This window comes from Homo sapiens, chromosome 3, assembly GCF_000001405.40.
Source record: "Homo sapiens chromosome 3, GRCh38.p14 Primary Assembly".
In the NCBI taxonomy this organism is placed as follows: domain Eukaryota; kingdom Metazoa; phylum Chordata; class Mammalia; order Primates; family Hominidae; genus Homo; species Homo sapiens.
Window position 1 is genome coordinate 40,442,664 of NC_000003.12, and position 25,935 is coordinate 40,468,598.

At 43.9% G+C, this 25,935-nt stretch overlaps 1 protein-coding gene and 1 long non-coding RNA gene across 3 annotated transcripts in view, besides 5 other annotated features; one reads left to right on the forward strand and one right to left on the reverse strand.

Annotated features, from left to right (window-relative positions):
- The window catches only part of ENTPD3-AS1 (ENTPD3, EIF1B and MYRIP antisense RNA 1), a 62,358-nt gene extending 51,713 nt beyond the window's left edge, over positions 1 to 10,645 (reverse strand). Inside the window, exons 1-2 of the long non-coding RNA NR_040100.1 lie at positions 10,459 to 10,645; positions 9,042 to 9,119 (exon numbers count right to left, since the gene is read on the reverse strand). This is a non-coding gene — a long non-coding RNA (ENTPD3, EIF1B and MYRIP antisense RNA 1). The remainder of the gene's footprint in view (positions 1 to 9,041; positions 9,120 to 10,458) is intronic.
- Positions 10,379 to 10,448: an enhancer, noted in NCBI's record as "active region_19716". NCBI's record gives its function as "activates an Ori minimal core promoter by ATAC-STARR-seq in GM12878 lymphoblastoid cells {active_cell/tissue: GM12878}" and the evidence as "EXISTENCE:reporter gene assay evidence [ECO:0000049][PMID:35858748]".
- Positions 10,469 to 10,538: an enhancer, noted in NCBI's record as "active region_19717". NCBI's record gives its function as "activates an Ori minimal core promoter by ATAC-STARR-seq in GM12878 lymphoblastoid cells {active_cell/tissue: GM12878}" and the evidence as "EXISTENCE:reporter gene assay evidence [ECO:0000049][PMID:35858748]".
- Positions 14,475 to 14,769: an enhancer, noted in NCBI's record as "tiled region #7904; HepG2 Activating DNase unmatched - State 1:Tss, and K562 Activating DNase unmatched - State 1:Tss". NCBI's record gives its function as "activates a minimal TATA promoter and a strong SV40 promoter by Sharpr-MPRA in HepG2 and K562 cells {active_cell/tissue: HepG2 | K562}" and the evidence as "EXISTENCE:reporter gene assay evidence [ECO:0000049][PMID:27701403]".
- Positions 14,676 to 25,924, forward strand: RPL14 (ribosomal protein L14). Of its 2 annotated transcripts, none has more exons than NM_001034996.3 (6): positions 14,676 to 14,811; positions 15,227 to 15,328; positions 15,979 to 16,073; positions 18,744 to 18,843; positions 18,945 to 18,998; positions 19,276 to 25,924. In NM_001034996.3, exons 1-6 carry the CDS (start codon positions 14,809 to 14,811, stop codon positions 19,567 to 19,569), a joined length of 648 nt encoding a protein of 215 aa, NP_001030168.1. In that variant the 5' UTR covers positions 14,676 to 14,808; the 3' UTR covers positions 19,570 to 25,924. The 2 variants fall into 2 exon arrangements, with proteins under 2 accessions (NP_001030168.1, NP_003964.3); NM_003973.5 differs by having other exon boundaries at positions 14,676 to 14,700.
- Positions 14,912 to 14,961: a silencer, noted in NCBI's record as "silent region_14232". NCBI's record gives its function as "represses an Ori minimal core promoter by ATAC-STARR-seq in GM12878 lymphoblastoid cells {active_cell/tissue: GM12878}" and the evidence as "EXISTENCE:reporter gene assay evidence [ECO:0000049][PMID:35858748]".
- Positions 16,175 to 16,469: a silencer, noted in NCBI's record as "tiled region #106; K562 Repressive non-DNase unmatched - State 2:TssF". NCBI's record gives its function as "represses a minimal TATA promoter and a strong SV40 promoter by Sharpr-MPRA in K562 cells {active_cell/tissue: K562}" and the evidence as "EXISTENCE:reporter gene assay evidence [ECO:0000049][PMID:27701403]".
- Positions 25,925 to 25,935: the final 11 nt, after the last annotated feature.

Here is a 25,935-nt window from a genome sequence, read left to right on the forward strand (position 1 = left end):
AGCCCAGGATTTTATACAAGAAGGCTGTTTTCTGTGTAAGCAAAGCAGTTTATTTTAACGTTTTATGGTTTCTCCTAGGAATATGCCATTGATTAAATTATGAAAAAGCTTTAGGCGGAGCACGGTGGCTCACGCCTGTAATCCCAGCACTTTGGGAGGTCAAGACGGGCAGATCACCTGAGGTCAGGAGCTCAAGATCAGCCTGGCCAACATGGCAAAACCCAGACTCTACTAAAAATCCAAAAATTAGCTGGGGTGGTGGTGGCTTCCTGTAATCCCAGTTACTTGGGAGGCTGAGGCAGGGGCATCGCTTGAACCTGGGAGGGGGAGGTTGCAGTGAACTGAGATCAAGCCACTGTACTCCAGCCTGGGCAACAGAGTGAGACTCCATCAGAAAAAAAGAAAAGAAGAGAAAAAGAAAAAAAAAGATACTTGGCTGGGTGCAGTGGCTCATGCCTGTAATCCCAGCACTTTGGGAGGCTGAGGTGGGCAGATCACTTGAGGTCAGGAGTTTGAGACCAGCCTAGCCAACATGGTGAAACCCCGACTCTACTAAAAATGCAAAAACTACCCAAGCATGGTGGTGCACGCCTGTAATCCCAGCAGGAGAATCGCTTGAACCCAGGAGGCAGAGGTTGCAGCGAGCCAAGACTGTGCCACTGCACTCCAGCCTGGGTGACAGAGTGAGACTCCATCTCAAAAAATATGTATGCATATGAAAAAGTTTTAGGGCCGGGCATGGTGGCTCATGTCTCTAATCCCAGCACTTTGGGAGGCCGAGGCAGGCGGATCACAAGGTCAGGAGTTCGAGACCAGCCTGGCCAACGTACTGAAACCCTGTCTCAACTAAAAAATACAAAAAAAAAAAAAAAAATTAGCCAGGCATGGTGGCAGGCCCCCGTAATAGCAGCTACTCGGGAGGCTGAGGCAGGAAAATCGCAAGAAAAGAAAGGAAGAAAGAAAGAAAGAAAGGAAAGGAAAGGAAAGGAAGGAAGGAAGGAAGGAAGGAAGGAAGGAAGGAAGGAAAGAAAGAAAGAGAAAGAAAGAAAAGGAAAGAAAGGAAAAGAAAGAAAGAAAGAAAGAACAAACAAAGAAACAAAGAAAGAAACAGAAAGAGAGAAAAAGGTTTAGACCCAATTTATACTTTCCATGTATACCTCCTCATAGGCTAATTTGTTCCTCAGTTTGGCGGTTTTTTGATTGTTTCTAAAATGCTGTTTCTAAAAGAACACTTATCTGCCCTAAAATGACATTTTTGGGGTTTTGAACAAAATCCCCAGCTGGTGTTTTGTGACATTGCAGGAACAAGCCTATGTTTTCCTGTATAGATTTCAGTGACTACTTATGACTATCATTTCCATCCTATTTCAACTGTGCCATTTCCATATAAAGTCTTAAGATTTAAAATTTCACATCCTATAGCTTGCTGCTGCCCACATAACATGTGTAAGTAGTAAGTACCCATTTCCTGATATTTACTTTTGCTTTTTTCCATAGTAATAGTTCTAGAATATCTGATTTTTAGCAAGGCTCATAGCCACCAGAAGTGGAGACTCAATTTCCCAGCATTGCTTGTAGGTTTGGTAATGAGGCTGAGTTCTGGCCAACGGAAAGGAAGCAGAAGTGTCCTGATATGGCAACCAAGACTCTTCCTGAGAGAACAGTGGACACCCATCTTTTGCCCTTTTCCTTTATCCTGCTGCAAAGTGTAAGGGCAGGATCTGTAGGCCTGAAGTAATGAGAATAAGAGCCACCTCATGGATGTTAGGGATGTAGGGAGAGTAAGCTGGGTCCCTGAGCTGAGGGACCAGGCCAGCTCAGGACCCCCACAAAAGAGGAAAATAAATGTTTAAGCCACAGTTATTGAGAGACTCTATAACTCATTGCTAAAATTGATGCACACTAACTCCCCTCCAGATGCCTCTTCTGGGTCTGATGCCACCACTAATGGGCCAGGTGACCAGAATTGAATGTAATCAACTTCTTCTTCAGATGTGACCCTATGATTTCGCTCAAGTTTCCTGGGCTCTCCATGTCCTGCTCATGCTGAAGCTCCAACCTGTGGATGTATCCTCAAACTCATTCTTTCAAAATGGTCAGTAGAGATTTTTATTTTCAAATGCCCAAGGGGGGTTGTTGTGCACAAATGGACTATCAACAGTTACTAGCCATTAAAATAATATTTAATTTTTAAAGTCTTATGTTTAAAAACCTAGATTTTCTTAAACCTTTTATTTCAACTTGTAAAGTTATTATTCTGTTTTATAGGTAGTAATTTTTATGTAAATTAGAAACAATAACTTTAGCTTGCTCTATGATGAATGTTCAAATAAGTCAAGTCTAAGAGATTAAATTTCCAGAAACATTAGCACCACTTAAAATCATGATTAATTAAATCCCCTGAAAACTTTAAGTCTACTTCATTAATGTCATATTGGTGGCAGCAGTGACCCATCTAGAGTGGCCACTGCCAAGACATCGGCTGCAGCAGGGAGGCACGGCTGGGGTTGTACACTCCATGGAACAGGCAGAAGCCCTGCCCTCCCCAGGTGCCACTGCAGCTGCCCAGGCCCGGCTGCAAACCCAGGCATCTCTGTGCTCTTGGGGGCCCAGGAAGGCCCCCCTGCGAAGTGTCTGCTCCCACTGCCTGGCCTCTCCCTGCTCCCAGTGCCCGCTCCAATCATGAAGCAAGGTTGGGGCCGAACCCGGGCACTGTCACAGCCCAGCCAGGTGGGCACACACTGAGGTTGGCACTGACACGCCAGACCCCTGCCACCTTGGCCCCTTCCGGACTTTGGGCACTGACACATACAGGAGGGAAGCCAAGCAGGGGCTGAGGACAGTTGAAACATGATGAATGTGTTAGATGTTTTTAAACATTAGAGATACTTTAATAAAAAATACTCAGAGATTGGCTACATTTAACAACAAAATGTATTATTATGGGTTTGATTTACTAAATGATGGCTCTATGTTTTCCTTGTGTTGCAGACTCTCTCACCCAACTTTAGTAGCATAGCCTGGATCACAGGTGAGCCGAGATGAATGGGTCAAAGGTGTAGGATAGCAATATAATTACCCACACGTCAGATACAGATGTTTAAGTCCAGGACACAGGAGCTGGCTCCACATACATCATGGATGATTCTACCTTAGCCACAACTTAAAACACAGAATCTCCATTTGCTATTTCAACAAGCTGCTCCAAACCTTTCAGACAGGATTTAGTTTCACAATTAATAAACTACTTAACCCATTTATTCAACACATATTACTGAGCGCAAGCAATTAATGAGGCAATGTTCAAGGCACTTGGGTTACAGGAAAGAACAAGACAACGTTTTCTGCTTTCTCAGAGATTAAATTTTAGTAGGAACAGACGGAGGGAAGACAACAAAATAATGATGTAATAAAGCAATAAATTATTTTCTGTCAGAACTGAAAGAGGATAGCCAGGATGGGCCTCACTGAGAAGGTGACATTTGAGCAGACTTGAAGAAGATGCAGGAGCCAGCAGGCAAGATATGGGAGCCCTTGAGGGAAGAGTGTCCTAGGAGAGGGGACAGTCAGTGTGTGGGCTCCGGGCAGCAGGTTGCTTGCCATACTGAAGAACAGCAAGGAGGCCAGAGTGCTGGAAGAAAATTTGCAAGGGCAAGAGTGATAGGAGATGAGGAAAGAGAAAGGATAGGGGATCAGACCGTGAAAGGCCTTGCAGGACACTTAGCAGGGAGGTGAGTGTCATGATGATCTGACTTATGTTTTAAAAGGATCTCTGACTGCTGTGTGGACGACAGATTGTAGTGTAAAGGTCGAAGGAGGGAGACCATGTAGGAAGCTGTATTAAGTATCCATTGCTGTATTAACAAATACCTCAAAACTTTGTGACCTCAACAGCATTTATTATCTCACTGCCTCTGTAGGTCAGGAATCTGGGCACAATTTCGCTGAGTCCTCTGGTTCAGGGTCCTTCACAGGCAGCAATCAAGTTGTCAGCCAGGGCTACAGTCATCTCAAGGATCCACTGCAGAAAGATCCACTTCCAGCTTCACTTGGGCAACTGTCAGCAGGATTCAGTTTTTTTCAGGATATTGTATCCTGGGCCTCAGCTCTTGTCTGTTCAGGGGGCTTCTCATTTTCTTGCCATGTGGGGCTCTCCACCGGAGAGCTCACAACAGGGCAGCTTGCTTCATCACAGCAAGCAAACAGAAAAGAGAGGGAGGCAGAGAAAGAGAAAGAAAAACAGAGAGACAAACAGAGGTGTCACAGTCTTTTATACTCTAATCTCAGAAGTACATCCCACAACTTTTGTCATAGTCTATGCCTTAGAAGAAAGTCACTAAGTCCAGCTGTTTCTGAAAGGGAAGGGATTATGCAAAGGTGTGAATACCAGAAGGCAGAAATCACTGGGGGCCATTTTAGAAGTGTCCACCACAGAGGCTACTGCAGTTATCCAAACAAGAGATAGTGGTGGCTTGCACAAGGTTTATTATAACAGAGGAGGAGAGTAGTCAGGTTCTTAATAAAATTTTAAAGGTAGAGCCAACAAGATTTTTTGTCTGACTGGATATGGGGTGTGAAAGTGAAACATCAGCTGGGCAAGGTGTCTCACACCTGTAATCCTATCACTTTGGGAGGCCAAGGTGGAGGATCACTTGAGGTCAGGAGTTCAAAACCAGCCTGGCCAACACAGTGAAACCCCATCTCTACTAAAAATACAAAAAAATTAGCCAGGTGAGGTGGCGGGCGCCTGTAATCCCAGCTACTCGGGAGGCTGAGGCAGGAGAATCACTTGAACCCAGGAGGCAGAGGTTGCAGTGAGCCAAGATCGCACCATTGCACTCCAGCCTGGGTGATGGAGAGAGACTACGTCTCAAAAAAACAAACAAACAAACAAACAAAAAAACAAACAAAAAAAAAAGCGAAGGATTGAGGGTGACTTCAGGGTATCTGCTCTGAACAACTGGAAGGATGGAGTTGCCATTGACACAGATGGAGAAAACTAAACAGTAAGGTTTAGTGGATTAATAGGGAGGGGTTGCTGAAGATCAGGAGCTCTATGTTGGTATGTTAAGTTTGAGATCACCAACAGATGAATGGATAAAGAAAATGTGGTACTTATACACAATAGACTGCTATTCAGCCATCAAAAGAATGAGATTCTGTCATTTGCAATAGCATGGATGGAACTGGAGATCATCACGTTAAGTGAAAATAAGCCAGGTACAGAAAGACAAACATCACATGTTCTCACTTACTTGTGAGATCTAAAAGTCAAAACAATTGAACTCATAGGGATAGAGAATAGAAGATGGTTACCAGAGGCTGGGAAGGGTAGTGAGTGGTGTGGTGGGGGGAGGTGGGGATGGTGAACGCATACACAAGAAATTTAGAAAGAATGACTAAGACTAGTATTTGATAGCACAACAATGGGACTATAGTCAATAATTTAATTGTACACTTAAAAATACCTAAAAGAGGCCGGGCGCGGTGGCTCATGCCTGTAATCCCAGCACTTTGGGAGGCTGAGGTGGGCGGATCACGAGGTCAGGAGATCGAGACCATCCTGGCTAACACAGTGAAAACCCATCTCTACTAAAAATACAAAAAATTAGCTGGGCATGGTTGCAAGCGCCTGTAGTCCCAGCTACTCGGGAGGCTGAGGCAGGAGAATGACTTGAACCCGGGAAGCGGAGCTTGCAGTGAGCTGAGATTGTGCCACTGCACTCCAGCCTGGGCAACAGAGCGAGACTCCGTCTCAAAAAACAAACAAACAAACAAAAAACCTAAGACTATAATTGGGTTGTTTGTAACACAAAGGATAAATGCTTAAGGAGATGGATACCCGATTTTCCATGACATGATTATTACGCATTACATGCCTGTACCGAAATATCTCATGTACCCCACAAATATATACACCTGCTATGTAGCCATGAAAATTAAAAATACAAAAAAATTAAAAATAAAATTAAAAATAAAAAAAGTTTGAGATCATGATCTGACAACTAAGTATATCACAAGTCCTTGAGCTGTCCTTCAAGTTCTCTTTAATTTTTATCATAACTTCTTTCAACTCAGGTTTGAGTAGATGCAATTTTATTCCTCGACTAGGATCGCTGCTAATTTCCTCAATCTAATTGGATCCACCTAACAACTTTACACCCTCAATGGATTCTGCACGGTTAAGAGTATGGACTCTGGGTCTGAACCATGCACTGACTAGCCATCTGAGGGGGCACAAGTTATTTAGCCTCCCTATCCGTTTCCTCACCTGCAACGTAAGGATAATAATATCACCTCTATTCTAGAGGTTACATCTTGGGCTTTTGCAAGGATTAAACAATTTAATATTTGTAAGGCACTCAGAATGGTGCCTAGTGTTTGTTAGAAGTGCTATAAGGACTAGCTACACAAATGTTCTATGTGAGTGTGTGTGTGTGACTGGTTCTCAGCCACAATTCTGGAGTCACTTGATAAAAATTTAAATACTGGTCTTCCCAAAACTGATGTTGTCTCTTGGAAGGCTTTTGATCAACTACAGGCTCTCAGAAAATATGGACAAAGGCGCAAGAACCCCTCCAAAACTGGAATAAATACTTGAAGATATTAGGGAATTTTTGTTAATTTTCAGGTGTGATAATACTATTGGGGTTATATTTATTTTAAAGAAATCATCGTTTAGATACATATTGAGGTATTTATGGCTAAAATTTCTTGAATTGGCTTTTAAAATAAAACAGAAGACAGAGTAGTAAATGAGTAGAAATGAAATAAGATTGGCCCTGTGTGGATAATTTTTGAGAAAGTGTAATGTGTACATGGGAGTTTATTATACATACTATTCTATTTTTGTATATGTGGAAATTCTTAATAATAGAAACATTTTTGATCCAGGATCTATGCCAAGAGAAATTTAAGCCCTAGTACTGCTTCCCATGGTAAATATTTGGTACAACTTGGGTTCTGAATATTTATTAGCACCACAGTGACCTCTGAGACAGTGTCCCTGCTGGTATGGAGACATACAAAACACAGGTTTTCAGGCCCAACATTGTCCTTTTAACATATTACTACTGCCTTTAATGAATGTTAACTCATGTAATCCTTTAAAAAAAAAAAAAGCCAAGATGTAACACCCATCCAACTTGTCTCCAGCTGCAACCTTGCCTCCTACTGTCTATGATGAGGAGGGCATTCTTAACCCAACAGCCTGTACCATCTTTAAAAACATGTCAGATCATGTCACTGCTCCATTTAAAGCATCCACTGGCTCCTATCTTGAGAGTGAAAGCAAGTCCTTCCAGTGGCTTCCAAGGTTCCACATGCCCTGGCTCCTTCATCTTATACTATCTCTCCCTCAATCACCCCACTTCAGCCTCATTGGTCTTCCTGCTCTTCCACACGCATGCTGAGAGAGAACTTGCTGTTCCCTCTGCCTGGAATCCCAGACATCCACATGAATTGCTCACTCATCTCCTGAAGTTCTCTATTCAAGTGTCACTTTTTCCTCAAGGCCTTCCCTCACTTCCCTATTTAAAATAACTACCCTTTCCCCCTAAAGCAAATCCACCCTAGTACTCTCCATCCTCCTTTTTATTTTTCTGTGGCACTTACCACCATATGACACACTATTTGTTTATTTTCTGTATCTACCCACTAGAATGACAGTTCCATGAGAGTAGAACTTTTGCCTGTTTTATTCACTACTATGTCTTCAATGCCTTGAATAGTTTCTGGCACACACGAGGCATTTAGTGTTTGCTAAATGAATTAATACATGCTCATTCCTTCTAGATGGCACCACGTTAGCATCTCTTCTCCCTGAATGCCCTGTCACTCATTCTGCATCCTTGTTCACCACTATGTTCACTATGCTGCATTATCCAGCACCTGTCCTTGTAGTCATTCCTTTTGGGGAGAGTTGTTTCCATGGTGACACAGGAGCTTTTCACCTACTTAGCAGGCCTCTCAGAAAGCTCTTTGCACCCTGGTTCTATTTCTAGTGTTGTTAAGACTCCAACACACACAGAACTTTCCATTCCTATCCTGGAAAGCATTCTCGATCAGTATAGCTAGCTGGTGCTTTTCAGCAGTTCTGCAGGCAGGTTTATTTAAGCAGACCTCTTTTGATAGACATTTAGTATGTTCTAAGGCTTTGCCTTTTCATTCATTCACTCAAAATATTTATAAAGGGCCTATTCCACTCCAGGCACTGTTTTAGTCACCTAGCATACACCAGTGATTCACCCTGGTTTCCCAGAGTTGAATTATCATAAATTACTCCACCTATTGTTTATGTTGTTGTGAAAAGTGTCAAAGATCTTGATCTTGCTTGCTGATCTCTAGCTCCTGACTTTGCAGCCCACTGATGCGAAATATGTACAGTTAAAAAACAAAAAACAAAAAACAAAACATGGCGCGGTGCAGAGGCTCACGTCTGTAATCCTAACACTTTGAGAGGCCAAGAGGATCACTTGAGTCCAGGAGTCTGAGACCACCCTGGACAACATAATGAAACCCTCATCTCTACAGAAAATTCAAAAATTAGCTGGGCATGGTGGCACATGCCTGTAGTTCCAGCTACTTGTGAGACTGAGGTGGGAGGATGGCTCAAGCCAGCAAGTCAAGGCTGCAGTGAGCTGTGACTGCACTCCAGCCTGGGTGACAGCAAGACTCTATCTCAAAAAAAAAAAAAAAAAGTACAGAAACCAACACTACCTCCTTGTTTGTTAAATACAATGGACAGACCACACACACACACACACACACACACACACACACACAAAAGCCTATCTAGGCATTTGGAGTGTTGGACAAACTTGTACTACTGAGGAGTTGGGCACTGCATCCCAAGTGTCCTGACCCATTCCAGAGTCTATCAGCCTCTTTGGGAACAGGAAGTTGGAAGTGGGCAATCACTGAATTGCTAAGATGACCTTCATTTGCTTCTCACTCAGATTTCTGTAATAGGCCAATGTTCCTCTTCATTATGGACATTTTTGATTCCAGAGTGTGTCATTACCTGTGGTTTGTGAGCTTACCTCCTGCTTTGCAAAAGATCTAGAACTTCCCCATTGATATAATGCTCAGAATACCTTCTTGCTATACCATCAGCATTCCTAAGGAATAAGTAAATACAAGCTCAGTTGAGAAGAAAAATCTGCATGGTTATTCATCAGGCAGGAAAAACAAATACAAATAAAGACAGCTGCAAAGTTAACAAGAGACTATTGCTGCCAAGGACATGCTTAATCTTTAGTGTCATAATAACCCTCTTTGAGTGACTACTGCTTTCTCACTTTCTCACTGAGAAACTTTGTTCCTAAAATCAAAGACCCTCAGAAATTTGCTGTTTGAAATTTTATCAGTAGGAATAAAATATCTTGCTTGGAGGACCTAAGTCACTTTAACACAGAGATACAGCTTCAATTTACAAGCAGCCAGTTGCAAAGCTTCAGAAAAGGTTTTCAAAAAAACAGGACAATGGGTCCACTCTGCAGTCTAGGCCTGATGTTGACCCTTTTTCACAGTCCTGCTTTGTTTTGAGGCTATTAAAACCCTGCTTCATTTAAGTTCCATCTAAACTTTACACTTCCTCAAAATCCTGTAACTTTATATTTTCCTTCCCCTGGTAAAATGTCCCATGGTGTCTCTGGTGTGCAATCTCCCTCATTAAAAAAGATCGATAGACCTGGTTTTGCTGACTACAGGTTTGTCCCTGGTGGTCTTAGGCTGACTGGGCTTGAACAGTCTTGCTCAGCTTCAGGGTTCCTAAGATTGCAAATTTCAAAAACTGATACAACAAACATTTTTTCACTCCTAAATACAAATGCACCTGTCCACGTTGCCAGGTAGTTATGCACATGGCTACCATGTCAATTTGGTCATAACTAGGGTTAGGTCACTTCTCTGGAAGGTTAGTTATTAAGAACAAGAAAGAAAGTCAGGGTTCTGCACAGCTTTTGGTTTGATTCTTGTACTGACTTATGTTTCTTTTTCTTTGGGGCTACAGGTAAATATTTTGTCTGCTAAACTGACGCCCCCATCGCCAGTGTCTGAACAAACAAAACTGAGACATATCTAGTCAGCTGAAGCTGACAAATACAGGGGCCAATCTGGTTACAGGCAGGCAGTCCTGGCCTCGTGACACCGCAGAGACTGTGGGACAAGTGGACGTGCTCCTACTGTCCCTCGCATCCCCCATCTGGGCCGCGGGACTAGTGCCCTCAGGTCTATGACCCACTGCAAGAACCCAAAGCTCGACGCCCGCCCAGCCCTTCACATCCGTCCCTTGCAACAAGCAAGAGAAGAGGGGCGCGGCTTCAGGGGACGGGCGACGGTTTACAGGACAGCTCGTACACAGTACCAGCTGACATCCCCTAAGCCTGAGTGTCTAGGCCCCTGCCTCCACATTTAAGAGCCGACTGCGCCCCTTGGTGATTGGACGTCCGGACGCACCTTGAGTAGAGGCCAAGCAAACTATCGAGCCCGTCCAAAACGCCATATTTGTAACTGACGTCATCCTCATGTTGCCTTTCCTCTCTGTGATTGAGGAACCAATCAGTTGGGTGTAGCAGACGGGGCGTGGCTCTTCAGGTAGAGGCCGAAGGGGCTGAGAGCGGTCCCAGGCGGCCATCTTGATTCCTGGCATCACTCTCAACGTGCCCTCCCTCTCCGTGATTGGACGAGCAGGGCGGGCCTTCCGGAGGCACACAGCCGACCAACCAGAGATCTGCGCGTGCTCGATCTGGTCATCTGTTTTCTGACATCTGGAGCCACTAGCAGTTATCCTGTTCATTCCTGGGCGCCTGCGACCTTCCGAAGGAAACAAGACTTGCTTGGGGAAAGTTGCCTTGCCAGTATAGTGGAGCTTGGTAGAAACTTAAAAACTGCCTGGGGCTGCCTGGGATGGGGATCTCGAGATGCTTGTGGGGAGCACATTTTAGGAAACAGGGGGCTCAAGCTGCATGAAATGCTGCGGGAAATAGGAATGAGAGACGCAGAATGGTCGGAGAAAAAAGCTAGGAAGGTGTTTGGGAGTAAGATTTTGGAGTGCCTTGAATGCCAGACTAGGGAGTTTGGACTATATCCTGTAAGATAGGGGATAAAAATCAACTTTAAACAGGAGTGATATAACAAGATAATGTACTTTAGAAAATAATTCTGTAACTGTAGGGGGAGTCCCAAAGTGTTTCTCAAATTGTGTTCGGGGAAGTTCAAAGTGTGTTTGAGAGCTTGTTTTTATATGCAGATTCTTGCCCCTCACCAGACCTGCAAATAAAGTTCTCTGGTTGTACAGCCAGGAAACTGCATTAAAAAAAAACTTTTTAGGTTAACATACATTTGGTGAGAAAACGCATAAACCATATGGATAGGGCTCTGAATTTTCACAAGCAAACACTTCAGCCAGGCGGGGTGGCCCGTGCCCCTAATCCCAGCTACTCGGGAGGCTTAGGCAGGAGAATGGCTTGAGGCCAGGAGTACCAGATCAGCCTGGGCAACATAGCAAGACCCGTCTCTAAAAAAATTTAAAACAAAAATAATAACACACTCCCGTAGTTAACACCAGATGAAGAAACAACATGGCCAGCAGCTCAGAAGCTCCCCTTTTCCCCTTTAGCCACTGCTGCCTGCACCAAAGGTAAATATGATCATTACTTATAAGAACTGTAGATTAGTTTTGCCTGTTTTGAATTTGATATAAATAAAAGCATACAGGATATATTGTGTCAGCTTATTTGTTAGTGTTATTTATGAAATTCATCCGCATTGTTCCATGTAGTTGCTGTAGACTCCGTTGCTATAGATTGTTATCACAATTTATCCAGTCTCTTGTTTATGGGCCTTTGGGTAATTTCCAGTTTGGAGATAGTAGCAAAAAAAATGCTAAAATGAACATTCTTCTTCATTCATATCTTTTGCTTTGTAAATTATAAAGCAAGACAACAAGACCTAAAGACTGATTCATTCACTACCTATTTATTGAGCCCCTTACCAGACTAAGGTGAGAAAATAAAACAGAAAAGACAGCAAAGGTCCTGCCCTCATGGAACTTATTCTAACTGGAACGAAACAACACCTACGTGGGCAGCAAAACAAGTCAAACAATTGCAATTGTGATAACTCTGAGGGAAACAAGGTGAGCTAGAAAAAGAAGGGTGGGGACTTAACCTTTTTTTATGTGGTAGCCTGGTTAACTCTCAGAAAAATATCTAGGAAAAAATACAAGAGATAAGTTGGCACTGCTACACGATGAGTATTAACAATGGGTAGACCATTCCTGGCAAGAGAGACACCATGTATAAAGGTCATGGAGGAGGAGAGAGCTTGGCCCATTCAAGACCAGTGTGGCTTCAACACAATGAAGGAGGGATGGCATAAGGTGTATCTGGGTATTAAAGCATATGATACAAGGCCAGAGTAAGAAGTTGAGATTTTATTCCAAATATTATGAAAAGCAATCGAACTGTTAAAAACAGGAAATAATGTGATCTGATTTACTTACTTAAAAGATCCCTCTAACTGCTGAGCAGAGAACAGATTAAAGACAGAATTTAGGAGGCTGCTAGAGCAGTCTCAGGGAAGATATGCTGGCATAGAGCTTAGAGGAAAGGCTTGAAATACATCTGGGAACTGTCATGGCAAAGATCATCACCTTAATCAAGTGATAAAAGGTAACACCTCTCTGCACTGGCCTGGGTAAAAATCTAAAGAATAAAATACCACCACAATATTGGGAACCCATGTGTGGTGGTGTATTCCTGTAGTCCCAACTATTCTGGAGGCTGAAGCAGAACTGCTTGAGCCCATGAGTTCAAGGCTGTAGCAGGCTACAATCAGACCTGTGAATAGCTACTGCACTCCAGCCTGGGCAACACAGCCAGACCCCATCTCTTCGAAAAAATGTATATGTGTGTGGCCAAGCACAGTGGCTCACGTTTGTAATCCTAGCACTTCTGGGAGGCTGAGGCAAGTGAATCACAAGGTCAGGAGTTCAAGACTAGCCTGGCCAAAATGGTGAAACCCTGTCTCTACTTAAAACACAAAAATTAGCCGGGCGTGGTGGCAGGCACCTGTAATCCCAGGTACTTGGGAGGATGAGGCAGAGAACTGCTTGAACCCGGGAGGCAGAGAACTGCTTGAACCTGGGAGGCAGAGGTGGCAGTGAGCCGAGATCGCACCACTGCACTCCAGCCTGGGTGACAGAGGGAGAGTCCATCTCAAAAAAAGAAAGAAAAAAAAAAGTGTTTGTGTGTGCGTATATATATAGAGAGAGAGAGAGTGAAGAGAGAGAGAATGTATTCTGATGTGATGCACCAAGGACATAGCATTTCTACCAAAAATTCACTATCTGAATCCAATGAGGAAAACTCCAACAAACCCATGTTACAAATTTAACAGTTAAATCTAAAACTATCAGTTAAAGACTAGAGACCTGATAAATAATTGCAATTTGTAATCCTCCATTAGATCAAGAGCCTGGAAAAACAATTTTTTTTCCCATTTGCTCCAAGGAACATAGGAGCAACAACTTATAAATTTGAATAAGGACTGAAGGTTAGATAATAGTACTATTGCAATATCAATTTCCTGATTTTGATAAGTGTACTGATGACATAAGAGAATCTCTCTGTTGTTAGGAAATACACATTTTAAGAACGTATAGATAGGCTGGGCATGGTGGCTCACGCCGGTAATCCCAACACTTTGGAAGGCCGAGACGAGAGGATCGTCTTCACTCAGAAGTTAGAGGCTGCAGGGAACCATGATCGCGCCACTGCACTCCAGCCTGAGCGACTGAGGGAGACCCTGTCTCTATAAAAGAATGTAACGCCAGGCACGGCGGCTCACGCCTGTAATCCCAGCACTTTAGGAAGCTGAGGGAGGCAGATCACGAGGTCAGGAGTTCGAGACCAGCCTGGCCAACATAGTGAAACCCTGTCTCTACTAAAAATGCAAAAAAATTAGCCGGCCATGGTGGCGCGCGCCTGTAGTCCCGGCTACTTGGGAGGCTGAGGCTGGAGAATCACTTGAACCCGGGAGGCGGAGGTTGCGGTGAGCCAAGCCCCCGCCACTGCACTCCAACCTGGGCAACAGACCGAGACTCCGTCTTTAAAAAAAAAAAAATGTAGCGATAGAAGGACATCATGTCGGCAATTTCCTTTCAAATGATATAGCACATGCAAAACGTTAACATTTGTGGAATCTAGAAGGGTTTGTGGGAATTATTTGTACTAGTTTAGCAATATTTCTGTAACTGTGAATTACTTGAAAATGAAAGGTTAACAAAGTTACTGAGATTAGGAGAGAACGTGAGGAGCGAACAGACCTAGCCATGAATAACCAACAAATAAAACTCGAGGAAATAAAAAGGAACTCAAATGGCATGCGACCAACGGAAGACATAGCTTCTGTACTCTTAACCCTAAATTACTAAGCGATGACCCTCCTGCAGCTTTCTAATCCAAATCACCAAAAACAATCTCGCCGCCCAACTTTGCCAAAAAGCAACTTAACGCCAGCCGACTCCGCCATGTTTTCCCAGTGAGCTTGCGAGCGCGTGCGTACGCACGCACGCACGCACGCACCAACCAATCGGTGCTCACGTCGGTGACTCGTTACCGCAGGGGCGGTGCGTTCTTCTACACATGCGCAGGGTTGGGCGGGTCTTCTTCCTTCTCGCCTAACGCCGCCAACATGGTGAGTCTTACTGTTGCGGGCTCCGGGGCCGTCGACCATGCCGCTCGACCTCCACCTCCGCTGGGAAGCTGAGGCGCCAAACGGCTCCCAGAGGGTCCCGGGAAGCGCATGGTGAGGGTCCCCGGGCCGGCTGTGCAGCGGAATCGGGCCCTTCCCGGACTCGCGCCCTTCCCGGACTCGCCGCTGGCGAGCGCGTGGAGGGCCCGGCAGGCCTGGCGCGCCTTGGGCCACGCGTGCGCGCCTCCGCCGCTGGAGCTGGATGGCTGATGCGGCTCGTGGTCCGAGAGCCTTGTCCTGCCGTGTGGGCCTTGCGGACCTGGGAGCTGGCGGGCGTTGGGAACCGGGCTTAAGCTACTGAGGCGTTTGCTGATTTCGTCCATCCAGGTTGGCGCCTGGCTCTCGGGCGTTTGTTCCCTGCAGCATTCTTTTTCGCTGAATTTAACCATGTTGTCTTTAGCTGCAGAAGGTGACATATGTAGCGAGTATTTCTAAGTAAGTTTCACTGTCCTTTCTCCTCCAATTTTAGGTGTTCAGGCGCTTCGTGGAGGTTGGCCGGGTGGCCTATGTCTCCTTTGGACCTCATGCCGGAAAATTGGTCGCGATTGTAGATGTTATTGATCAGAACAGGGTAAGTGTCACAACTTTTTACTAAACATGGCAGTGGACATGTGCCCTGCAGATGGCAATAATGAATTGTCTCGATGGCTGTGTAAGATGAGGATGCTATGGGTAGTCGCTTTATTTTACCATTGAGGAAACAGGTAATGGTACGGGTTTTAAGCACAGCCTGAAGTTAGCTATTAGTATTGAATTTCAGTATTAGCCACTTAAGCTAGAGCCAGTTATAGGCTGAAACGTTGGTTAGTTTTAAATGAGTTACTATACGTAAAGTGAGTTTAGAACAGATCCAGCACGTAGAAAGCACTTTTGTATTTACTGCTGTGTATTTGAAACAAGCAAACTAAGGAGTTGACCACTGACTATAAATCAGCAGGGATCAGAGTCCTAAAGTTGCCTGTAAATTACATGTGGTTGGTTTCTATGGGGTACTATATAGTTTAAGAAGGAGCATTTAATGATGTGGAGAAATGTTTGTGTTGAGCAAAAGACATACATATATATAACCCAGATAGGACAATCCTTGTCTTTTCTGAGCAATTTATTAAAATAGTAGTGTGGGTTTGATGGCCCTGAACGGATAAGTAATGTTACAGAACCATCTGACCATTTTAATTGCTGTTAGATTTTGCACTGAAGTTCTTGATGTTTGTGTTCTAGGCTTTGGTCGATGGACCTTGCACTCAAGTGAGGAGACAGGCCATGCCTTTCAAGTGCATGCAGCTCACTGATTTCATCCTCAAGTTTCCGCACAGGTAACTGTCCACTAATCACTCCTCCCTCCCATCCCCAGATTTGTTTATGCTAGTAAAAGTTTGTTTTGGAGTAAACAATACGGAAGATTCAGAGCCATCCTGAAGAGGGATTTGCATCATAGAAGTAGACAGGGATTATTTACTTTTAAAATGTCTTGCCTGCGCGTGATAGCTCATGCCTGTAATCCCAGTACTTTGGGAGGCCACGGTGGGAGGGTCTCTTGAGCCCAAGTTTCAAGACCAGCATGGGCAACATGGCGAAAACCCCCATCTCTACAAAAAATAAAAAAAAAATTCGTTGGGCATGGTGGCACGCGCCTGTAATCCCAGGTAGGGGGGCCTTGGGGGTGCTGAGTTGGGAGGATCGTTTTAGCGAGGTCGAGGCTGCAGAGAGCCGTGATCATGCCACTGCACTCCAGCCTGGATGACAGAGTGAGACCCTGTCTCAAAAATAAATAAATAAAATAAATGCCTTGAGGTCACTTTTCTATCCTGGTAGTTTAGGGCTTTGCCTTTGTTTAGATTTGCCATCTTCTTTTCTTCTGGTTTCTGCCAAATTTTTAGCTTAAAGTAAACAACAATACTAAGTCTTGTGTTTATTGCTACTAGCTATCATTAGATAAGCTCTCAGTGTGTGTCAGTTACACAGTATTTAATATAAGAGGTTTTATCCCTAGCTTACATTTAAGTGAGGCAGTGAATAGCAGTTCTTTTTTGACATGAAAATTAAAACACTTTAGTGTGTTGCTATACAGTTAATTCAACCCACAATGATGGTTGCAGTGGAACATGTAATTTTGCATGCTTTAAAAAATAGTCAAAAACTTGCTGTATGTTGGCCGGGCGCGGTGGCTCACGCCTATAATCCCAGCACTTTGGAAGGCCGAGGCGGGTGGATCACGAGGTCAGGAGATGGAGACCGTCCTGGCTAACACGGTGAAACCCCGTCTCTACTAAAAATACAAAAAAAAAATATTCCGGGCATGGTGGCGGACACCTGTAGTCCCAGCTACTTCAGAGGCTGAGGCAGGAGAATGGCGTGAGCCCGGGAGGCGGAGCTTGCAGTGAGCCGAGATCGCAACACTGCACTCCAGCCTGGGTGACAGAGCGAGACTCCGTTTCAAAAAAAAAAAAAAAAAAAAAACTTACTGTATGCTGAGCACTACAGGCACTGTGGGACGTGTATTAACACATAATGGATTTTGAAGTACTGGTAGTTGAAAACATGCCACTTGAACAACCTCGAGTGAACATAGCCATGCTGCTACTACTGTGACATACCAATTAGGGGTGAAGCTTGAGGATACTTGTCAAAGTTCAAAGCAGTAGAAAATACTTGGTAACTTAGATTTTTCACTAGGTACTCTTGTAATTCTGCCTTGGATCCCTGGACACCCTGGATTTTATTTTTAGGATGTTTGGCCACAAATTGTTACTGTAAATTTTTTTTTAAAAAAAAGCCTAACAGTTAATATTAATTACCTTGTTTGTTACGAGAATGAATGGCTCGGATGTGTGCAGTGGCTCATACCTGTAATCTCAGCACTCTGGGAGGCCAAGGCAGGTAGATAACTTGAGGTCAGGAATTTGAGACCAGCCTAGCCAACCCCGTCTCCACTAAAAGTCCAAAAATTAGCCCAGTGTGGTAGTGTACTCCTGTAGCCCCAGCTATTTGGGTGGATGGAACAGAAGAATTGCTAGAACCTAGGAAGCAGAGGTCACAGTGAGCCAACGTTGCGCCAGTGCATTCTCCATCCTGGGTTACAGAGCAAGACCCTGTCTCAAAAAAAGAAAAAAAAAAAGAATGGTTTTCAACACGTCCACTGCCCGAGTGGAATTATATATAGTCAGAGGTGGGTTTTTTGTGTTTTTTTTGAGGGTTTTTTTTTTCTTTTGACACGGAGTCTCACTTTGTCACCCAGGCTAGAGTGCAGTGACGCAATCTTGACTCACTGCAACCTCAGGCTCCCAAGTAGCTGGGATTATAGGCACCTGCAACCACGCCCAGCTAATTTTTGTGTTTTTAGTAGAGATGGGGTTTCACTATGTTGGCCAACCTGGTCTTGAACTCCTGACCTCAGGTGATCCACCCATCTTGACCTCCCAAAGTGCTGGGATTACAGGTGTGAGCCACTGCGCCTGGTCAAGAGGTAGTTTTTAAATTCATAAAATGGGCTGGGCTGGGTGCAGTGGCTCATACCTGTAATCCCAGCACTTCAGGAGGCCAAGGTGGAGGGTTGCTTGAGCCCAGGAGTTGGAGACCAGCCTGGGCAACGTAGCAAGACCCTGTCTCTACAAAAAATATAAAAATTAGCTGGGTGTGCTGGTATGCACCTGTAGTCCCAGCTACTTGGGAGGCTGAGGCAGGAGGATGGCTTGAGCCTAGAAGGTTGAGGCTACAGTGAGCCATGATCATACTATTGCATTCCAGCCTGGGTGGCAAGCAAGATCCTCTCTCAAAAAAAAAAAGGGACTGGATTACAGTTTTGATTAAAATATGCTTGAAGTTAATAACCTATTCTGGCTTACTGAACACAAAAATAAGTAAAATACATAGTGTACCAGGTGTTGTGTAACAGGAAGAGTGCTTTTCAAGGAACAAAGAAAGTGTCTTTGATAATGAGTGACTTCAAAGCTGATTTCTTAATCTGTGGTCTTGGCTCGTTCTAGTGCCCACCAGAAGTATGTCCGACAAGCCTGGCAGAAGGCAGACATCAATACAAAATGGGCAGCCACACGATGGGCCAAGAAGATTGAAGCCAGAGAAAGGGTAATAACTTAGGGTCATTTGAATTCTGGTCCTTTCTTTTTTTGGAGGGTTCAAGATAGTGTGAGAGGGATAATTTTTATTTGTTGTTTTTTTTTTAACAGAAAGCCAAGATGACAGATTTTGATCGTTTTAAAGTTATGAAGGCAAAGAAAATGGTAAGATTTAAGATCTGTATTTTTGTGTAACTTAGCTTTAAATAATAAGGGAGCAGTAGCCAAATCCCATTTCAGGCTGCCAGCTTCTTGGAAGCTTTCTGTAAAAAAGGAGAATTTATCTTCATTTGTATTTCATGATGTCCCTATGGAATTGTTACCTTTCTTCAGATGTAGTTGTAGGGAAACAGACTACTTAATGCCCTTTCTAAAACCAGCATAAATTGGATTTTATTGTATGTATACACAATAAGTGCTTTCTTACATTGATAATTTTCAGAGGAACAGAATAATCAAGAATGAAGTTAAGAAGCTTCAAAAGGCAGCTCTCCTGAAAGCTTCTCCCAAAAAAGCACCTGGTACTAAGGGTACTGCTGCTGCTGCTGCTGCTGCTGCTGCTGCTAAAGTTCCAGCAAAAAAGATCACCGCCGCGAGTAAAAAGGCTCCAGCCCAGAAGGTTCCTGCCCAGAAAGCCACAGGCCAGAAAGCAGCGCCTGCTCCAAAAGCTCAGAAGGGTCAAAAAGCTCCAGCCCAGAAAGCACCTGCTCCAAAGGCATCTGGCAAGAAAGCATAAGTGGCAATCATAAAAAGTAATAAAGGTTCTTTTTGACCTGTTGACAAATGTATTTAAGCCTTTGGATTTAAAGCCTGTTGAGGCTGGAGTTAGGAGGCAGATTGATAGTAGGATTATAATAAACATTAAATAATCAGTTCCTTTTTTTTTTTTTTTTTTTTTGAGATGGAGTCTCGTTCTGTTGCTCAGGCCGGACTGCAGTGGCGCTATCTCGGCTCACTGTAAGTTCCACCTCCCGGGTTCATGCCATTCTCCTGCCTCAGCCTCCTGAGCAGCTGGGACTACAGGTGCCCGCCACCGCGCCTGGCTAATTTTTTGTATTTTTAGTAGAGACGGGGTTTCACCGTGTTAGCCAGGATGGTCTCGCTCTCCTGACCTCGTGATCCGCCCGCCTCGGCCTCCCAAAGTGCTAGGATTGCAGGCATGAGCCGCCGCGCCTGGCCTAAATAATCAGTTCTTTAATCTCACTCTCTGCCCATACTTGGATAGGTAGTGCAAAATCATTGCAGTCATAATTGATCATGTCATGAGAAATCATGATAACTTAGAACACCAAGTGACACAAGTGACATTTTTTTCTTATGGTCACCTTGGCTTCAGAACATCTTTTTTCCTTGTACAAATATGTTTGCCATAAATAGGTAAAGTGACAGCCTCTTGATGCTCAAGAGTCTAGCAGATTTATTTTATTTATTTATTTTTTTTTTTTGGAGACAGAGTCTTGCTGTGTTGCCCAGGCTGGAGTGCAGTGGTGCGATCTCAGCTCCCTCCACCTTCCGGGTTCAAGTGATTCTCCTGCCTTGGCTTCCCAGGTAGCTGGGACTACAGGCGCCCACCACCATGCCCAGCTAATTTTTTTTGTAGAGACTGGGTTTCACTATGTTGGCCAGGCTGGTTTTGAACTCCTGACCTCGTGATCCGCCTGTCTCGGCCTCCCAGAGCGGGGGATTATAGGCATGGGCCACTGCACTTGGCCTTTTTTTGTTTTTTTGAGACAGAGTCTTGATCTTATCACCCAGGCTGGAGTGCAGTGGCACGATCTTGGCTCAGCGCAACCTCTGCCTCCTGGGCTCAAGCGGTTCTCCTGCTCAGCCTTCTGAGTAGTTGGGACTATAGGTGTGTGCCACCACGTCTGGCTAGTTTTTGTATTTTTAGTGGAGATGGGGTTTCACCATGTTGGCCATGCTGGTCTCGAGCTCCTGACCTCAGGTGATACACCCGCCTTGGCCTCCCAAAGTGCTGGAATTACAGGTGTGAGCCACTGTGCCCGGCCTGCAAATTTTCTTATAAAAAGTAAACTAGGAAAATAGGGCAAGTATAAAAATTGCAGGTTGAGCATATTTCTAATCCAAAAAGCTCTAACCTCTGAAACTGAGCTATGACACTACAATTTAAAAATCCCTAGCCTACCCGCATGGTGGGTTATGGTCAAAATACAGGTACACAGCACTATTCAGTGTCCCTGAGGAAGAAATAGTTAACCTTCAGGGTACATGTATATGAAGCATAAATGAATTTCCTGTATAGACCTAGGTCCCATCCCCAAAGTGTCATGTATATGCACTTAACTCCAACATCAGAACACATCTCGTCCTAAGTGTTTCAGATAAGAGATACTTATCCTGTGTATAGTAGGTTGGACTTCTGTTTCTCTCTACCACAAGATACAGGTAATTTGGGGCAGTAAAAGATCCTGGATAGATTTAAAAATACTACAAAGCTGTACATGAAACAGGATTACTTTTTTTTTTTTTTTTGAGACAGAGCCTTACTCTTGCCCAGGCTGGAATGTAGTGGCACGATCTCAGCTCACTGCGACCTCCACCTCCCAGGTTCAAGTTGTTCTGCCTCAGCCTCCCAAGTAGCAGGGGTTAAATGCGTGTACCACCATGCCCCTCTAATATTGTATTAGAGATGGGGTTTTGCCATGTCAGCCAGACTGGTCTTGAACTCCTGACCTCAGGTGATCTGTCCGCCTTGGCCTCCCAAAGTGCTGGGATTACAGGCGTGAGCCACCGCTTCTGGCCAGGAATACATTTTAAATAAATTTGTTTCCTAACCAAAAGCTAGCTTCAGGCGTCACTGGGGTAAAGGAAAAAGCACATTGATTTGCTTGATAATAGGCAAGTGGTATGGTGTAATAAGGAAAATATGGATGATTTCGGATTACCTGTTCTACTCTGGGAGGTAGAGAATTGTCTAGAGAAAGTGGCATCTATACCTAAAATAAGAAGAAGGTGGTGTAAGGGGAAGAATGACACGAGATAGGAAATAAACGAACTGATAGTGTAGAGGACTGGCTCGGGACCACATCAAGGAAGTAGGTTAGTGGTTAGATCGTGTAGGGGAACACGGGAAGCTACTGAGGGTTTTTTAAAATGGCGTGATATCTCAGATTTAGATCATTGAACTGTTAAGACTGAATCTTATGGGATCAAGACTGGGAATGCTCGGGTTGGCAGTATGAAGTTTGGCAGTAATCCAAGGAAGTGACAGTGGTAATGCCATTTAGGTGGTCTTGATCATGCATTGGACTGCAGAAATAAGGGAGAAAACAATGTGTCAGGGTTTCTGGTTTGTACCTCTGGTTCATTGGTTGTGAGGGAACATGAGGCAGGGTAAAGTTTATCTAGGTAAAATGAGTTAGTTTTCATGTAGACTATCTGGGTGTATATGCAAAGACTGCAGACAATCTATACTAAAATCCTGGCTCTGCCTCTTGAAAGCTATGTAGTTTAGGCACATAGTCAAAATCCAGTTTCCTCATCTATGTGGTACGCTTCAGAGTAGTTAATCATGATATGTAGTCCAGTGACTGGTTCCCTTGGTAAGAGCTGTGATAATGACACAAGGAGGAGAGGTTTCAGGACAGACTTGGGATTCATGAATATGTAAGTGGTCACTGATTCCCCAGGGGTAGGATGACAACAATCAAGAGACGAATAGAGGTTGGAAAGGAGTCATGAGGGGTGGGAAACTAGCAGGGGCACATGGAAGCTAGGGAAAGAATTTTGCTTGAGATCGTCAAAGTGAGGGGAAGAGGGTAGTAAGCAAAGGAGAAATGTTATATGGGGTTCGGAGGTTTTGTGTTTGTAAATCTGGAGTGATGGGCATGTTCAAATGCTTCTGGGAAAGGAGCTAATAGGAGAGAAACTTAGCCCTTCGAAAAACAGGAAGGGATGGATCCTAGGGGAGAGGAGGAAGGATTGGCTTTAGAGGAAAGATGTCCTTTACGTGAGGAAAAGGAAGAAAAGGTGGGTTTAGATACTAAATCTGTAGGTTTGCTGTTAGGAAATTAAGGACTTTTCACCTTTATCTCTGAAATTTCTCTGGAGTTAGCAAGGCAAGGTCATACACTGAGAAGGAGGGATGAGGCAGTGTAGATTTGCAGACATACAGGTTGTAATTCCTTATGGAGGAAAGGGGAGAGCACTTTTGTCAGACTGCCTGTGGCTTTGAGAGCCCTTTGGCTACAGTCCATGAGGTGCTCAGAGGATGAGAAAGCTTCAGGGTAGAAGCAGTATTCAAGCTGCACCTAGAAAACAGTGCAATACAGAACAGTGGAAATTGGAAATTCCAATCTTGGAATCTCTAGGAAAGTAACTGAGGCATACGATGCCTGAAAAGGAGTAGAAAATAAAATTAATAAGGTGGGACCATATGATAAGAGATTTGAGGCCGGGCACTGTGGCTCACACCTGTAATCCCAGCACTATGGGAGGCTGAGGCAGGCGGATCACCTGAGGTCAGGGGTCCGAGACCAGCTTGGCCAACATGGTGAAACCCCGTCTTTACTAAAAATACAAAAATTAGACAGGCATGGTGGAGCATGCCTGTAATCCCAGCTACTTGGGAGGCTGAGGCGGGAGAATCGCTTGAACCCAGGAGGTGGAGGTTGCAGTGAGCTGACATTACGCCATAGCACTCCAGCTTGGGCGACAGAGGGAGACTCTGTCTCAAAAAAAAGACTTGAGCAAGGGCGTAATCTTCAGGAAGGTCAGTCTGGTAGCATAGTGTGGATTGGGTTGGGGGATGGGGAAGGAGAGCAGAAAATTATTGAAATATCCAGGTGCATAAAAGTCTACTTTGATTATGGAGAACTACACACTTGTTCAGTCACCCTCATTGGAGACGGGGGATGGCATACGAAAAGAATGCTGATTTCAGGCTGGGCACGGTGGCTCATGCCTTTAATCCCAGCACTTTGGGAGGCTGAGGCAGGTGAATCAGGGGTTCAAGACCAGCCTGGCCAATGTGGTGAAACCCTGTCTCTACTAAAAATCAAAAAAAAAAAAAAAAAAATGGCTGATTTCAGAGTCATATTCAGGTTTAAATTCTGTCATTCAGCCCAAACTCATTACTTTATGTTACTTATGGGAACCTCATCTAAAAAGCAAGGATCCTGATACCTGCCTCATATTGTGGCAAGGATCAAATGAGTCAAATAAGATGCTTGTGAAAGTGAGGACAGGATCTATCCTCAACACCTAGTGCAATTCTTTTTACACATTAGGTACTTAGTAATTTGGGTTGAATTGTGTTGAACTAACCTGGCGGTATAGGCAAAATTTGGAAGTTTGGTTTTCAGAAAGTCTTGACTTCCTCTTATCTCTAAGTAATTGGCATGTCCTCTAATTCATATTTTCCCCCCTCATCTGTTGGGTGAAATACTGTTTATCCTTTAGTACTAAAATTAAAAGTTACCTCATTCTTCTAGCTAGCTGATTTTTTTTTTTAATCTAGGCTAAATCATGAATACATTTACATTTAAATAAAATATTACAGTTGAAAGTAAAGGGTCCTTTCATTATCTCCACTTCCAATTCCAGTACCCTGTGTAAAGGAAAACATATACATCTTGCAGACATTTTTTAATGTGTTTGTAATATAGGTACATAAAAATATATGTGCTTGTTTTAAGCAAATTTCATACTCTGCAACTTGCCTTTTTTCTTAATACGTTCTGGAGATCTTATCTAGTCAGCCTCTAAATTAGAGTTCTTCAGAAAACCAATGGGATGGATGAATGGACTCAAGAGATTGTGGAAACCAAGAAGTCCCACAAAATACCATCTGCAAGCTGGAGAACCAGGAAAGCTGATTGGGATAATTCAAACTGGGTCCAGAGGCCTGAGAACTGGAAGGGCCAGTGGTGTAAGTCCTGGTCTGAGACCAAAGGCTTGATCAAGAATCAAGAGCATCAACAACCGAGGGCAGGAGAGGATGGGTTTCCCAGATTAAAAAAGCAAATTCACGCTTCCTCCCCCATTTTGTTCTATTTGAACCTTCCGTGGATAGGATGATGCCCACCTGCATTGGTGAAGGTCATCTTTACTCAGTCTACCCATTCAAATGCCAATCTCTTCCAGAGGTAATCTCACAGATTTAGAAATGTTTCGCCAGCTAGCTGAACAATCCTTAGCCCAGTCAAGTGCACACATAACCATAACAATTCTTACTAATCTACCTCATTCTTTTTTATCTTCTGCATAATAATCCACAACATGAATGTTCACGTTTGACCTCTATTGATAGACATTTCGGATGATGCCAATTTCTTTTTCTGGTTTTTGTTTTTTGTGTGTGTGTGTTTTTTTTTTTTTTGAGACGAGGTCTTGCTCTCGCCCAGGCTGGAGTGCAGTGGGTGGGGTGATCTCGGCTCACTGCAACCTCTGCCTCCCGGGTTCAAGCAGTTCTCCTGCCTCAACCTCCTGAGTAGCTGGGATTACAGGAGTGTGCCACCACACCTGGCTAATGTTTGTATTGTTAGTAGATACAGGGTTTCACCCTGTTAGCCAGGATGGTGGATGGGCATTTGAATGGGTAGACTGAGTGATCCTGACCTCGTGATCCACTCCCCAGTCTCCCAAAGTACTGGGATTACAGGCGTGAGCCACGGCACCAGGCCCTCTTTTTCTATTTAAACAGTGCTTCCGTGAATGTCCTTGTGTACACCTCCTTCTGTACACAATGATGTTTATCTGATGCACATTGCCAATCAGTGCACTTGCTGGATTGAAGAATGTGAGTGTTTGTATCACTCTTTCAGTAGGCTGTACCAATTTAGACTTGCTCTACCAATTTAGATTTCCATCAGCAGTAAACAAAGACATTCCTGCCTGGCAGTCTTGAACTCCTGCTATTATCTCTTAAATTTTTGCCAGTGTGTGAAAAGTAGTATCTTACTTTAACTTGTATTTTCCTGGTCCAATAGTGCACTAAATGCCCGAGTTCTGTATTTATTCTATTTGGATAGCCATTAGATAGCCATTAAGTCCACTCATAGAGTTATTTTAAATGTTTTCCTTTAGTTTCCAACCACATTTTCAAATAAAATTTAGAATTAGCTTGTCAAGTAAGTTGTCA